Here is a 16,267-nt window from a genome sequence, read left to right on the forward strand (position 1 = left end):
CACCTGAAGTGTCCACCAGGCCCATAATTGTGGCCTTGCCGTGGCGAGTATATCTAGTCTCCCGAAATCATTACGTGGTGTTTCTCATCTGCAGCAACAGATACAGAGATGGTCAGAAAGTGAGATTAATTCTACTTTTAGCCCCACGGAGGGCTCCCCATCTAAAGGGAGTTTAATAAACAAAGGAATGGCCAATGTGATGAAGCCTCCTCTGCCACCTCCTTGTGTGTACCACGTGCCGCAGCCAGCCATGGCAGGGCCCCTGCTACCACCTCTGCATCTCGCTTGAGTGGCACCTGGCTGGGGCAGGAAGACCACTGATTTGGAGTCAGACAGACCTACTTTCTAGCCACCATCTGGAGCTCTCTGAGCCTCAGTTCCTCACTGAGCAACGCATGCAGGAACACATCTGCTTAGGTCCCCACAGCCACGTCCTGGGTAGGCTGCCTCCCCCATCCTGCCCTGCCCTGTGTTTAACTCCCCTCCAACTCTAGGATTGAGATACTGTGGCATCCCAATGGCAGCAAAGTAACAGCTCAGATAAATCTCCTCCCCCCGACCCCTGCCTGACTCCTTGATTCCCTTTAATAATTAGCTTCTCTTCCAGGCTTTCCATTTCAAAGCAAGAATAAATATGTGAAATCAACCAGGGAGCTGCTGAGTCTTGGCTGTCATGAGACTGATGATGGCTGGTGCTCCAGCAACCACAGAATTTGTTTTGGCAGTTTTTGTTCTCTATTTTTATTGGCACTTTCAGTTCAATTAAGGCAGCTCAATTCAACTAAGTTTAACTCAGGTAAGGCAAGGGACATTCTGAAGCACAATTACGTAAGTGTAGTGCTTTGCCACATCCCTAGGGACCTCCATAATGTCTGATGATACGAATTTAAAATATTCATCTTTTCAATAGCCCTGAAGCTGCTTCTCCAATCCCTGTGCTCACTTTGTTCTCCACATTGGTTCTTCCAGAATCCCCCCACAGCCTCAAACCTCCCACTGTCGCCCCAGAGATGACTTGCCCTCCCACCGCAGGGGAAACAAGACCCCACCCTTGGCCCCGTGTGTCCCCTTCTGAGAGGCCAAAAAGCAGATCTGCTCATGGGGCTCCGTTTAATGACTTCCCAGCTCATAGGATAGAGTCCAAACCACCTGGTGCAGCTATCAGAGGTACCAGGGCCCTCCCCGCTTCTCTCATCTGCAGTTCCCACCACACCTCGCCTTGAGTCCCCCTCTCAACTCCCTGAATGTGTGGTGCTCCGAACATGCTCAACTTGCTGCTTGGAAACTCTCTCCTTCCTCTTTCTCTACCCTGATTCTTTTGCTCATTTATACCCATTCCTCCTGTAGATTCCAACCTGGTCAGAAATTCCTTCTGGAAGCTTCCCCCAACCTCCCTACCATCCCACCCTAAGTCTGGTCTGAGGTGTCCCCTGATACTCTGACAGTGCCCTGTTCATCCTCAGCAGAGACACCATGTTGCCCCACATGCTGGATGTCTGCCTTGTCCCCACACACACCCCACAGCCACCCTTCTGCCCTCAGCAAGACTGGACATGAGTGCTTTGAGGGCACAGACCTTTTTTTTTTTTTCTTTTCTTGAGACAGAGTCTCACTCTGTCACCCAGCCTGGAGTGCAGTGGTACAATCTCAGCTCACTGCAACCTCCGCCTCCCGGTTTCAAGCAATTCTCCTGCCTCAGCCTCCTTAGTAGCTGGGATTACAGGCATGCGCCACCATGCCCAGCAAATTTTTTGTATTTTCAGTAGAGACAGTGTTTCACCATGCTGGCCAGGCTGGTCTCAAACTCCTGACCTCGCAATCCGCCTGCCTCAGCCTCCCAAAGTGCTGGGATTACAAGCGTGAGCCACTGTGCCCGGCCAGACCCTTATTTTTTTTAGCCAAACACACATCATATTTGAAATGGTAAATATGCATGCTAATGTATGTTTTAGGTACACACAGAAAATTATCAAAAGTACAGAGAAAATTATTTCAAGCTTACTTTCCCTAAAATTAACCCCATCTGCATAAACAAGTACTTCCTTTTAACTACCCCGTAGTGTGTTCAGCTGCATGACATGTGCTCCATGGACTTCCGCTGCCATCAAGCAATACTATGTCTGGGAATTCCAAAAGGAGCCAAAATTGTGTGCCTGTACATGTCTCAGTTCAAAGTGACAAAGATTGAAAATATAAAAACAAATCCTCAGATTATAAACAAATGTTCATAGCAGCATAACTCAGCCTAAAAGTGGAATGTCCACTAACTGACGAATGGCTCAACAAAATGTGGTCTATCCATACAGTGGAATAGTATTCAGCTACGAAAAGGAATGAGGTACTGATACAGATGAACCTTGAAAACATCAGGCTAAGCAAAATAAGCCAGACACAAAGGACCACATGTTGTATGATTCCATTTATAATAAAATGTCTAGAATAGGCAAATCCATAGAGTCAGAAAAGCAAATTAGTGGTTGCCTAGGGCTGTGGGTGGGATAGGGAGTGGGAAATGATGGCTAAGAAGCATGGGGTTTCTTTTCAGGTGATGAAAATGTTCTAAAATTGATGGTGGTGATGGTTGCACCACATACCGTGAATAAACTAAAAACATTGAACTGTATACTTAATATGGATAAATTATATGGTAAATGAATTATATCACAATAAAGCTGTTACTAAAAATAATAGTAATAATAATAATAAAAGAACGCCTCAGAACCAAAGTTACAATAACATAAATTCCCTGGGCTGTGTGCAACGAAGTTTCCCCTCAGAGAACACGTATGTGTCATTGTGTTACCCACTTCACGAACCACAGTCATTGCCAAGGCCAGACCCTGGGCCTTCTGCAGGCTGTAGGGGCAGCACAGCTCCACCTGGGGCCCAGAGTCCATCAGCCACAGCGGTTTGGGGAGGTGAGGCACTGCAGTTGTGGAAAGGCATATGCGAAATCCATTTTACATATGGTGGGGTAGGGGGGCAGTGTATATACAAAAAGACTGACTTACATAAAATTATCCTGGAGACTCCTGTTCTCATTGATCACATAGAAAAGAAATACCCTCCCAGAAAAGAACTGTGCTGAAGAATACCCATGCTGCTGCCTGGCTCTCCAGTCAGCAGTGCGTGCCTGCACCTCAGACATCCATGCTCAGGCCCTTGCTCATCAAATACATATCTACAGAGTACTTGCTAAGTGGCAGGCCCTGGGCAGCATGGGGCAAGGGACAAGATCCAAAGCTCTGCCCAGTCAGGCACAGAAAACCACAAAAATATAGCACCCTCTCCATCCCCCAAAAGTAAAAACATCAGTTAGGATTCACTGTAAAACAAAATTAAATTACTTTTGATGAAACGGAAGAAGTATAGTTTAAAAAAAAAAAACAAAAAAAACCAAGATCTTGGCACCATGCCTCACACATACCAAAGAAAGTGAAATAAAATCAAGGACACAATCTTCTCTCCCCTTTATCAGCTGGGAACAGCTGTGTGCTCCTCTCACCAGCCCACCTGGTGACATTCTGAGCAGCACAGTGGTGGGGGACAGCCACCTCTCCTTCAAGATTTGCCACGTCTGATTTGTTCAAAGGATGAAAACATAAGCTTTCCTTGACTGAAGGCAAATAAATGAGAAAAATCTAATGTGCTAATAGAAGTCCCAGAATACTGACCAAAGGGAAGAAGTCCTGGCTTTGGGGAGCCGTATGTGGCGTTTGCTTGTTTGCTTTGAGGAAAGGAACCTCTGGCCATGACCCACGCCCTCTGTCACCACCTCCTGCCCCCAGCACATGAGGGCAGATGGGACTCAAAAGGTGCCATGGTGTGAGGCTGCAGGCTGCTGTTCAACTGTGCTTTGCCCCAGTGTTCTTGGTCAACAGAAAAGGACCCCCGCATCTTTCCTCATCAGCATCCATCTATGTCTTTGTCTTCTCCACCCACCCACTCCATGGGAACTCTCCCTATAAACTCAGAGGGAACTAGGGTTTAAGCCAGTGTCTCTTAATAATTTTCTTAATGTAAAATAGGATTTCCTGGCTTAACCCCTCTATTTCTTTCATTTAATGAAAAGTTTCATCCTTTGTAAATCTTAAAACTGTTTAAATAGACTTGTTTCTAATTTAAAATATTTTAAAGACTATGGATAATCAATGTAATTAATTACACTCTAATTCCTAAATTCCATACCCCCTCTAATTCTATCCAAGGGAGGATTTGGGTGGCAAGATGGCCAGTCTGTCTGTTGGGTGTTGGGTAGGCTATTTTATTAACTATGACACTTGCATAACACCTTAGAGTTTATAAAAACACTCTAACAAGCATTGTAACAGGTTGTTAAATGCAACATTTTTCTGTTGTCTCTTACTCTCAAGAGCCATATCAAAGGCTAAGTATGATACAGGAATTCCAAGTACCACACAACCTATATATGCATAGTGGAAGAGGATTGGCTGAGAGAGTTAGAATGTTGTGGTCCTTTCCCTTGCCTCCCCAAGAGAGAAATATGTGCCTCTCCACTTAAGCCCACCATGGATCAGACCTTTGATTAACTATTTGAGTATATATCCCATTCTAGACCAAAAGCATTATATCTAAATCATTTTGACATCCTTAGTATTTAGAAGTCATTAATATACATACCAGAAACTGAGCTGAAATTTAGCTGGATGACACAGTTAATTTCCATTCCATATTATAGCCATTATTAGTAGATATGCATAACCCAGAAATGGGCAGCTTTTAAAACATGACTACTGACAAACCGCGACCTGGCCAGCTAGCGTGCTGTACCACTGCAGATGTGATTGAGTGACATAATCCTAACTTAAGCATGTCACATACACAGGAAAACAGGAGACCAAACTATGCAGGAGACCATCGTCAGACAGCCCAATGCTTATCTAGCCTGGCAAGGCCATCTAGCAGCAACCAAATGCAGCGCTTGGAAACTCTGCTATCCTAACATGGAATAGAGAAGTTCGCAGCCTTTTGACTTAAGAGACCTACCCCCATTTCTCCTCTCCTGACCCTTATCCTCCAGGGCCTCCACCCTGTGATTTGGTTCCCCGCTTGGTGGTATTTCTTTTCCATTTAGCCTACAAACTTTGCTCTCTTAATCTTTTTGTTTTGCTTTCATTACATTGTTTACAGATTCATCCAGGTATACCTGACATGCAATAACCTGCACATATTTTGCGTGTACGATTTGATGTACTTTGACATACATATACATGGTGGAGCCATCACCACAACCAAGATAATGAACACACTCAGCTGCAAGTTTTTGCATTCAGTAGAAACTGTACTTCCAGTACACATACAACCATTGTGTTTTTTCGTTTTTCAGTACAGTAACTTTCAGTATTCCATAAATTACATGAAATGTTCATTACTGTATTATAAAATAGGCTTTATATTAGATGATTTTGCCCAACTGCAGGGTAATGTAAGTATTCTGAACACATTTAAGATAGGCTAGGCTGGCCGGGCGCGGTGGCTCACGCTTGTAATCCCAGCACTTTGGGAGGCCGAGGCGGGCGGATCACGAGATCAGGAGATCGAGACCATCCTGGCTAACACGGTGAAACCCCGTCTCTACTAAAAATACAAAAAAAATTAGCCGGGCGTGATGGTGGGCGCCTGTAGTCCCAGCTACTGGGGAGGCTGAGGCAGGAGAATGGCGTGAACCCTGGAGGCGGAGCTTGCAGTGAGCCGAGATTGCGCCACTGCACTCCCGCCTGGGCCACAGAGCGAGACTCCGTCTCAAAAAAAAAAAAAAAAAAAAAAAAAGATAGGCTAGGCTAAGCTATGATGTTCAGTAGGTTAGGTGTGTTAAGTATATTTTTGACTAGCAATATTTTCAACTTAAGATGGGTTTTTTGGGAAATCACCCCATCATAAATTGAGGAACATCTGTAGTTGTATAGATTATTTCTGGACTCTCTGTTCCATTGATCTATTTGTTTCTGTTGACATCAATACCACATTATCTTCTAAATCAGGTAGTGTAAGTCCTCCCAGTTTGTTCTTTTTCAAAGTTGTTTTGACTATTCTATGTCCATTGCATTTTCACATGATTTTAAGAATCAGCTTATCAATTTCTACCAAAAAGCCTCCTGGGATTTTTATCAGTTTGAATCTATAGATTGAAAACAATACTGAATCTTATGATCCATTAACATCTCTCTCCATTTATTCAGGATTTCTTTAATTTCCTTCAGCTATATTTTGCAGTGTTTAGTGTGCAGGTTTCATGTCTTTTGCAAGTTTATTCCCAAGGTTTCACAATGTTTGATGCTATTGTAAATGGTAGTGGTTTTTCATTTCAATTTCCAATTGCTCACTGGTGCCACACAGAAATACAATTGATTTATATATATTGCCCTTACACCTTACAAACTTGCTAAATTCACATTTTTTAGACTCCTTAGGACTTTCTACATAGATTCTCATGTTTTTAAATAAAGACTTTCACTTCTACCTTTCCAATATTGATGCCTTTTACCTCTTTTCTTGCCTTAATGCACTGGGTAGAACTTACAGTAAAATGTTGAATAGAATTAAGGACAGTGGACATACTTGCCTTGTTCCTGATTGTGATTAAGTATAATATTAAATGTAGGATTTTCATAGGTGCCCTTTAATGGATTGAGGAAGTTTCCTTCTATTCCTTGTTTGTACAGTGTTTTTAGCAGGAGTGGATGTTGGATTTTGTCAAATGCTGTGTGCATCTATTAAGATAATCATGGCTAGGTGCAGTGGCTCACACCTGTAATCCTAGCACTTTGGGAGGCCAAGGCGGGTGGATCACCTGAGGTCAGCAGTTTGAGACCATCCTGGCCAACATGGTGAAACCTCATCTCTACTAAAAACACAAAAATTAGCTAGGCATGGTGGCAGGCACCTATAATCCCAGCTACTCAGGAGGTTGAGACAGAATTGATTGAACCCAGCAGGCAGAGGTTGCGGTGAGCCCTGAGATAGCACCAATGCACTCCAGCCTGGGCGGAGAGTGAGACTGTCTCAAAAAAAAAAAACAAAAAAAACAAAACAAACAAACAAACAAAAAAAATATATATATATATATAAAATCATATGGTTTTTCATTATTATTCTGTTAATATGAATTTTGATTGATTTTCAAATGTTAAAGAAACCTTGTATTCCCAAAAATTCTGCTTGTTCATGATGTGCTATTCTTTTAATACAGTTTTGGATTCTAGTTACCAAAAAAAAAAAAATTTAGAGAACTTTTGCTTATACATGCATGAGGGAAATTGGTCTGTTGTCTTCTTTTCTTCTAGTGTGTTAGTCTGAGTGTTCTATCAGAGTAATGCTGGCCTCACAGAATGAATTGGAAAACATTCCATGCTGTTCAATTTTCTGTAAGAGTATGTGTAAACTTGGTGTATTAGTCCATTTTCACACTGCTGATAGACATACCCAAGACTGGGCAATATACAAAAGAAAGGTTTATTGGACTTACAGTTCCACATGGCTGGGGAAGCCTCACAATCATGGCAGAAGGTGAAAGGCACATCTCATGTGGCGGCAGACAAGAGAAGAGGGCTTGTGCAGGGAAACTCCCATTTTTATATAACCATCAAATCTCGTGAGATTTATTCACTATCATGAGAACAGCACAGTAAAGACCTGCTCCCATGATTCAATCATCTCCCACCAGGTCCCTCCCACAACATGTGGGAATTATGGGCACTACAAGATGAGATTTGGGTGGGGACACAGAGCCAAACCATATCACTTGGTATTATTCCTTCCTCAAATGCATGGTAGAATTCTCCCAGAATTCCAGATGGTGGTGGGGCCACCAGTTGGTGGAGCAGTCAGAACACACAAATTTATAGGTTAAGTTTGCCAGCTTATATGGGCATAGTTTGTGGCACCCCAAAACAATTACAATAGTAACATCAAAAATCACTGATTACAGATCACTGTAATAGATATAATGAAAAAGTTAGAAATATTGCAAAGTGTTATCAAAATTTGACACAGACATAAAGTGAGCACATGCTGTTGGAAAAAATGGTACTAACAGACTTGTTCAATGCAGCATTGCCACAAACCTTCGATTTGTAAAAACATGCAGTATCTGTGATGCACAATAAAGCAACATGTAATGAAATGGGATGTGTCTCTACTCTTGAGCTTTGTGCTGGGATGCAGTTAAATCACTTAGCAATTGTTTGATCCTCCAGGCTTGCTTTTTTGTTTGGTAGGATCATAATGGCTTTTAGTCTAGGCCCACTACTGAGGCAATACCCTTCTGAATACTATAGGAAGGCTGAGAAGTGCCCAATACCCAGTGAACTGCAAGGTTTTTCCCACTGGCTGGTGAGAATGTGAACTGTTCCTGGCCCTGTGTGAACTCTAGGGATTGTTTCGCCCGCTCCTTTCTGATGGTTCTTTCCCTGTCCTTGGTATCCTCATAAGCATGGGCAGATTAGCACTCAGCTGAAGACTTGAAGAGGACTCTCCATAGATCTCCAAAATTCTTTGTGCAGCTCTTTCCCACTCAGTACTCTCCCCTCCAAGTCCTAGCTGCCTTGCTACCAAGGGAGACCACTGGTGTCTATTTGGGTTACCCTTTGTGATGGTTAGTCTTAGGTGTCAACTTGACTGGATAAAGGGATACCCAGATAGCAGATAAAGCATTATTTCTGGGTATGTCTGTGAGAGTGTTCCAGGAAGAGACTGGCATTAGAGTCAGTGGACTAAGGCCAGGCACAGTGGCTCACACCTGTAATCCCTGCACTTTCGGAGGCCAAAGTGGGTGGATCACTTGAGGTCAGGAGTTCGAGACCAGCCTGTCTAATGTGGTGAAACCCCATCTCTACTAAAAATACAAAAAATTAGCCAGGCGTGGTGGCAGATGCCTGTAATCTCAGCTACTCTGGAAGCTGAGGCAGGAGAATCGCTTGAACCCAGAAGGTGGAGGTTGCAGTGAGCCAAGATGGCACCACTGCACTCCAGCCTGAGTAACAAAGCAAGACTTCATCTCAAAAAAAAAAAAAAAGAAAGAACAGTGGACTAAGTAAGGAAGATCTGCCCTTAGCCAATGTTGGCAGGCACCGTCCAATTGGCTGAGTGCCCAGATAGAACGAAATGGCAGAGGAAGAGAATTCTCTCTCTCGGAGCTGGAACACCCATTTTCTCCTGCCCTTGGACATCAGAACTCCAGGTTCTCCAGCCTCCAGACCCTGGGACTCACACCAGTGGCCTCCCAGTTTCTCAGGCCTTCAATCTCAAACTGAGGGTTACACCACCAGCTCCCTAGTTCTCAGGTCTTTCCATTTACACTGAGCCATGCTACTGGCTTCCCTGGTTCACTAGCATGCAGACGCATATCATGTGACTTCTCAGCCTTCATAATTGTTCAAGTCAGTTTTCATAATAAATCCCCTCTCATTTATCTGCCTACCTACCTATCCATCCTATTGGTTCTGTTTCTCTGGAGAAACCTAACACACCCATCCCTGCTTTGCAACCTGGAAACTGGCTCCAGGCAGTAAACTGGACAATCAAAGGGCTCTCCTCGTTTGTGTCCCTCCTCCTGGGGATCACTGTTGTCCAATGTCCAATATCTGTTTTATATATTCTGTCAGGGTTTTAAATTTTAAGGCGGGGAGGCAGATTCCATCCCTATTTTTTTTTAAATTTAAATACCACAAATAATCCAGAAGAAAAAAGCCTGTACTTACAAATCCTTAAAACCTAGCATAGAAAAGACTCACTTAACCTAGCAGTGAAAATTGTCCCATTTTCGCCATAGCAATGCTGAACAGGATCAATTTATTTTGACAATTGTTATGACTACCAAGAAAGGAACTTCCTTAAAAGAAGATCTCTGGCCAGGCGAGGGCCCAGCACTTTGGGAGGCCGAGGCAAGCGGATCACGAGGTCAGGAGTTCGAGACCAGCCTGGCCAACATGGTGAAACCCCATCTCTACTAAAAATACAAAAATTAGCCAGGCGTGGTGGTGGGTGCCTGTAATCCCAGCTACTCAGGAGGCTGAGGCAGGAGAACTGTTTTAAGCCAGGAGGTAGAGGTTGCAGTGAGCCAAGATCGCACCATTGCACTCCAGCCTGGGCGACAGGGCAAGACTCTGTCAAAAAAAAAAAAAAAAAAAAAAAAAAAGATTTCTTAAACTTGGATTTACAGTAAACAAATTTTACTCGTTTACTGCCACAAGTGGTAATTACATCACATGTCTCCCTCGCCTTCTGTAATTATCTCAATGTGGCAGTTCTGTCATGCTGCAGGGGAATGCTGTAGCCTTCATCTTTCCCATTTGCACAGATGCTGCGTCTAGCTTTGACAACAACACAATATGATGTCTGGGAGGCTAAAATGCCTATAAGGAGCCTTGCCAAACAGAAGGCTTTATACTGTAAAGTGTTGTAACAACAAGCAAACAGTGCTTTCCGAGAAGCACTTTCCTGCACAGAAAAGAGATCTAAATTATTTCTGAAAGTGAGAGAAGCCCCATCATCTGGCATTTGATGATCTTCCATTGCCAAGATGGGAAGGTACTCTTCAAGCAGATCCTCCCTTTGACAGAAATGGCAGCACCTATGTGAGGTAATGTTGGTAGGTGGTTTGGAAAAGGTCAGAAAGGGTTGATCTTATTCCATGATCAATTTCAAATATCCTGGCTGGTGGGCCGGATGTGGTGGCTCACACCTGTAATCACGGCACTTTGGGAGGCCAAGGTGGGCAGATCACTCGAAGCCAGGAGTTCAAGACCAGCCTGGACAACATGGTGAAACCCTGTCTGACATGGTTAGGCTTTGTGTCCCCACCCAAATCTCATCTTGAATTGTAATCTCCATAATCCCCATGTGTCAAGAGAGAGACCAGGTGGAGGTAATTGAATCATGGGGGCAGTTTCCCCCATGCTGTTCTCATGACAGTGAGTGAGCTCTCCCAAGATGTGATGGTTATATAAGGGGCTCTTCTGCCTTTGCTTGGGACTTCTCCTTCCTGGCACCTTGTGAAGAAGGTATCTTGCTTCCTCTTCACTTTCCGCCATTATTGTAAGTCTCCTGAGGCCTCCCCAGCCATACTGAACTGTGAGTCAATTAAATCTCTTTCCTTTATAAATTACCCAGTCTCAGGTATTTCTTCATAATAGTGTGAGAACAGACTAATATATCATCTCTACTAAAAATACAAAAATTAGCCAGGCATGGTGGCATGCACCTGTAATCCCAGCTACTTGGGATGCTGAGGCATCGCTTGAGAATCACTTGAACCTGGGAGGCGGAGGTTTCAGTGAGCCAAGATTCCACCACTGCACTCCACTCTAGCCTGGCCAACACAGGAAGACTCTGTCAAAAAAAAAAAAAAAAAAAAAAAAAAAAAAAAACACACCTGGCTGGACTTTCCTTATATGCACATCAACATAATCATCAGTATAAGCTGGGCCCTCATGTTATTCTGTAAAAGGTGAATGGTAACAATAAACAGGGAAGGGTGTGTTGGGTGCAGGGGAAATGACCTGTTAGGCAGGTAAGGCCAGATTGAGACTTAACTAGGAAATGCTCAAAGGTTGTCTTCCAGGTCTCTGTACCTTCACATGGCCTTCAGATTCCTTCTTCATTCTCCCTCACCCAGTTCTTCAGGGGCTAACCCCACCCTCCACCCTAGATCCAAGCAACTCTTGGACAGTATCCTGTGCTCTCTCCAGAGCTAATGTATGGTCTGTTGCCCATTTACAAAGAGATGGGTAGAAATTGAGTGTAAGCATTTAGGAACATTTTTAGCAATCGACAGAGTAATTTTAAATCAGTTGAATGTGATAACTAATAATATTATAAACTAGGACTTGTATTTTACACTTTTATTTTTCTCATAATTCATTTTTGTTATATTTTGCAAAAGTAACTATCCTTAACACTCCAGCCTGGTCAACAGAGTGAGGCTCTGTCTCAAAACAAACAAACAAACAAAAAAACTAGTGCCAATATCCAAGAGTCTGTGAGAGAAGACACGTATGAAGGTCAGCTGGCCCCAGATCAAGAGGCAGCTGGAAACATGTGACCACAGTGAATTCTGCATTGAATCTTGGCTTCAGGAACTGCTACTTTGGCTGATTTAAAGACCGTAGTATAATATGATCTGATATATCCCTGTTGTTTCAAGTATCGAACTCTAAGATTGGATAAATAAGGCCCAATATGTTGTCTAAATAGAGATATCTGTAAGTCTTCAGGTGAACATTAAAACCTGGATATACAGTGTTTGAGGAAGAAAAAAAGTCAATAACCTAAAGGCTCGACAAGAGTAAATGGCTAAGCAAAGCCATCAATATCTGCTAGAGCGGCTGGCTTAGACACCAGGTAGATCGTGAAATGACCAGTCTTGACAACCATCCAGAAACTTAGAAATTCATACAAAATAACACATCTCTATTTATTGCAGTAATGTTTATAATGGTTAAAAAGGAAGAGGAACTGGATATTTAATAACAGAGAAATGGTTGAACAATTTAGTATAATGCCCTCATATCAAAGATTGTGTTAGATCTCTCCTAGTTGACCCAGAATGGTTTCACAGCATTTTGAAAAGAAAAACAAAAATACAGGAGTTTGAGACCAGCTTGGCCAACACAGGGATACCTCACCTCTACAAAAAATACAAAAATTATTCGGGTGTGGTGGCAGGTGCTTGTGGTCTCAGCTACTCAGGTGGCTGAGGTGGGAGAATCACTTGAGCCCAGGAGGTCGGAACTGCAGTAAACCATGATCGTGCCACTGCATTCCAGCCTGGGCAACAGAGTGACACCCTGTCTCAAAAAGAAAAGTGAAAAAACAAGATACAGACTGTGCACAGTGGCTCACGCTTGTAAATTCCAGAACTTTGGGAGGCTGAGGTGGGAGGACTGCTTGAGGCCAGGAGTTCAAGGCCACCTCTGGCAACACAGCAAGATTCTGTCTCTACAAAAAAAAATTGTTTTAATTAACCAGGTCTGGTGGTATGCACCTGTATTCCAAGCTACTTGTGAGGCCAAGGTGGGAGGATCACTTGAGCTCAGTACTAGGTTACAGTGAGCTATGATCATGCCACTGCCCTCCAGCCTGGGCAGCAGAGCAAGATCCTGTCTCAAAAAAAAAAAAAAAAAGAAAAAAAAAAAGAAAGAAAGGAATGGTCACCAAAGTTATGGTGGTTATTTTGAGGGCAGGTATTCCTGATGATTTTATTTTCTTCCTTGTATGTTTTTCTCATTTGAATGTTTATTAACAATAATCAGATATTTATATAAGATAAAACCAACAAAACGAAACCATCTGCATATCCTAGACACCTTATTTCCCTCCTCTACCTCCCACTTTTCCTTCAAGTCAAGTCCTTTGCTCCCTGACCTCACGCCATAATGTCAGTTCAGGCTCTCATTGCCTCTAATGGGCCCCCGGCTTCAGTCTCTGCCCTTTCTAGTCCTCCACATGGAAGCCAGAGTGACCTTTCTATATCGCATATCTGTGCATGACACTCCCCTGCCTGAACCTCTTCTAAGCTGCCCAAAGCCTGGGCAGCAGTTTCTAATCTTCAGCACTGCATTTTAAAGTCATACCTACTTCCCTCTGCTCTTTCCTGAAGATTTGTTCAATCATTCCCTTCTGCAACAACTCCAGCATCTCTCCTCCTATTTTCCCGTAGTATTTTGTGTAGACTTTATCATAGCACAGAAATCATTATTTTTAATGATTTGTTTTCTCTCTCTCCCTGCCTAAACTATGAGCCATTTGAGGGTAGGATTGTATCTTTACTGAACGAATGAATCTGTAAAAAAGGAGGACCCCAGACATAAGTATAAATGCATGCCAACCATGTAAAGTGTCTGTGTGAGCACTGAAAAAAGTTTAAAAGATAAACAATTTAAAGTTCCTTTTTTTTTCTTTTCCAGCAAGTGGCTTGAGCTACTTTTAAATTGATTGCCAGTCATTCACTTAATGAGTAATTTATGTCCAAGTTACCAAAAGTTACCTACAGTTTAAATCGCTATCAAAATAAAAACGAAGTCCAAAAGGAAACCATTTTACCCTTTCAAATAAAATAGAAGTTCAACATTCTTCTTAATATCACGCTAGTTGTAGAAACAGCATCTCTCCCCGATAAAACATGGCCCAGCTGTGTGATTACTTACTGGAATTGAGCAGGATCATGGCCTTGACACAGAGATATTCTTTGTGTTGGAGTTTTAACTCTCGAAACCTTGAAGTAGTTGCCAGGAGCATGTCAAAGATTTCCAGAATTCCTTCTACGCATTTCCCCTCATCCCTACAAAAGTTCGTTTGGAAATTTAAGGAACATAGCTTCAGGAAACCATCAAAAAAACAATAAGGAATGTTTTATTTTTAATCTCAAGTTTCATCTTGTAACATGTTCATCTGATAATATCATTTTAACTACAACAGGGTGTTAATGAGACCACACCCAGCAATATGAAATTACTAGAATTGTCTTCATATAAAGAAGATAGGCCATTTCCTATAAATCCCTGAAGTAAATATATGAATAAATATTATTTAGGCAAAAATGTGCATTGGAATATTTTCCTTCTACATTTTCACCAAATGTTTTCTTACAGCAATACCACTCCTATTGATTGTTTTCAATCAAAACCATATCAGTCAACCAGCCCCAGATATGACACGTATTTCAAAATGAGACACTTCATGTTCCCATCGGGAAGTATTAATGAGGAAGACCGTGTGTCACAGAAGCAAATATCCCAAGAATAAAACTCCATATCTAGGGCTTAACTCTCACTTCCTGGTGGTCACTTAGAAACTTGTGTAGCAACTAAGACATTTACCTGTAATTTGAAAAAGCTGACTATGAGAAAGAAATCGCAATTAGAGAAGATGGATTAGAATCAGGAAAAGAAGGTATACATGGAGGTGGGGAAAAATTTTTGACTTGCCAAGGATTATCTTCAAGCAAGGATTATCTTTAAACTTTGAGCCATCTAATCAAAATTCTTTGGAGCACTCCTTGTAGAAATAAATGTTTAAATATACTTTGGAAGTAAATTACTTGAACTTTATCTGGAAAATACCAGCTTCTATTCACTCCAGCCAGACACACATTATTCCACCTCACTGCTCCCCCAAAACACTCTATTATTGTCAGTCACAGGGTTATTGGAAGTCCTTGACAAGCAGTTAGATGATTTTGTCACAAAACCACCCTTTGCTCCCAAAAGCCTGCAGCACACAGAAAGGGCAGTGGGTTTATGCGAGTTCCATTTTTAGTCTCTAGCAGCCCCTGAAGGGGCCTTGAGGTCTTCAAAGAGCTGGCTGCTCCCCTCCTCCTTCCCCGAACTCAGGGCATTTCCAGCGATGGCAGTATTTCAGGGAAGAGCCTCTGACACCACTGGATACACCAGTCCTGCAGAAGTCTTTCCCATTACCTGCCGTACATGGCACTCACCGGGATCCTGCATTCCGAAGCACTCACACTCTCCCACCCAGACTCGCTCACACAGAGCTACAAGCATGCAAATTGCTCACTTTGGTATATGAGCATTACTGAGTTACTAAATTTACTAAATCATAAATTCTGTAAACACCTGCAATTTTCTATAAGTACACAGGTTAAGTGACAAAACACCAGTGCCCCCTGGAAGTCACTCATAGGAAAAGGCCGTCTTAGAGAATCCAGAGCACTGGGCAAAGAGTGCCAAATCTACAGGAAGCCTCATCTTTCCACCTCCCCAGCTCTAGGCTCTCCCAGGCAACCTGATGCAGGCATCCAGTAAGGACAACACAAGCCCTGCACAGAGATAACACAAAAAACACCTGAATCACCTTGCCTGCGGACAATTAATTATTGGAAATTGTAACTGTTGGACTTGGGGACATTTGATACTAAGGAAAGCTAGTTTGAAAATATCTCTATGGGGCAAAAAAAAAAAAAAACAAAAAAACCCACCAACTCCTGCATTGATATTTGATTATCTCTTTATTCTTCTGTGCTGATGTGGGATTATACACACATGCACAATACATACACACACACACACACACTCACACACACCCCTCCCCAAGTGGTATGGTAAGGGAACCCACCTGAAATCAATCCTATTTTCCAGAAGTACCTGTGCCTTAGTTCCTCAATATTGAAATTGGTATCATTTCCTCATTAAAATATATGCCATTTTCACTGCAAATTTATGTTCCAAAAATGGGAGGAGGGTTGGCATACTGAGGTATTTTAAACCCTGATAAAGGCTGTCCCTCACAG

General features: G+C 42.6%; 1 protein-coding gene across 12 annotated transcripts in view, besides 1 other annotated feature; it reads right to left on the bottom strand.

Annotated features, from left to right (window-relative positions):
- The window catches only part of ESR2 (estrogen receptor 2), a 111,907-nt gene that overhangs the window by 8,674 nt on the left and 86,966 nt on the right, over positions 1 to 16,267 (bottom strand). For 10 of the 12 annotated variants that reach the window (NR_073496.2, NR_073497.1, NM_001291712.2 and 7 more), the window contains one exon: positions 14,166 to 14,299. The exons of 1 other annotated variant lie outside the window; for it this stretch is intronic. Coding sequence is in view for 9 of the 11 variants with exons in the window: in NM_001291712.2 (NP_001278641.1) it covers positions 14,166 to 14,299 (134 nt within the window). In the remaining 2 variants the exon portion in view is untranslated. Of the gene's footprint in view, positions 1 to 14,165; positions 14,300 to 16,267 lie in introns of those variants that run through there. One more of the 12 variants, XM_047431078.1, reaches the window with a different exon arrangement.
- Positions 464 to 733: an enhancer, noted in NCBI's record as "active region_8525". NCBI's record gives its function as "activates an Ori minimal core promoter by ATAC-STARR-seq in GM12878 lymphoblastoid cells {active_cell/tissue: GM12878}" and the evidence as "EXISTENCE:reporter gene assay evidence [ECO:0000049][PMID:35858748]".

This window comes from Homo sapiens, chromosome 14 (genome assembly GCF_000001405.40).
Source record: "Homo sapiens chromosome 14, GRCh38.p14 Primary Assembly".
NCBI lineage: Eukaryota > Metazoa > Chordata > Mammalia > Primates > Hominidae > Homo > Homo sapiens.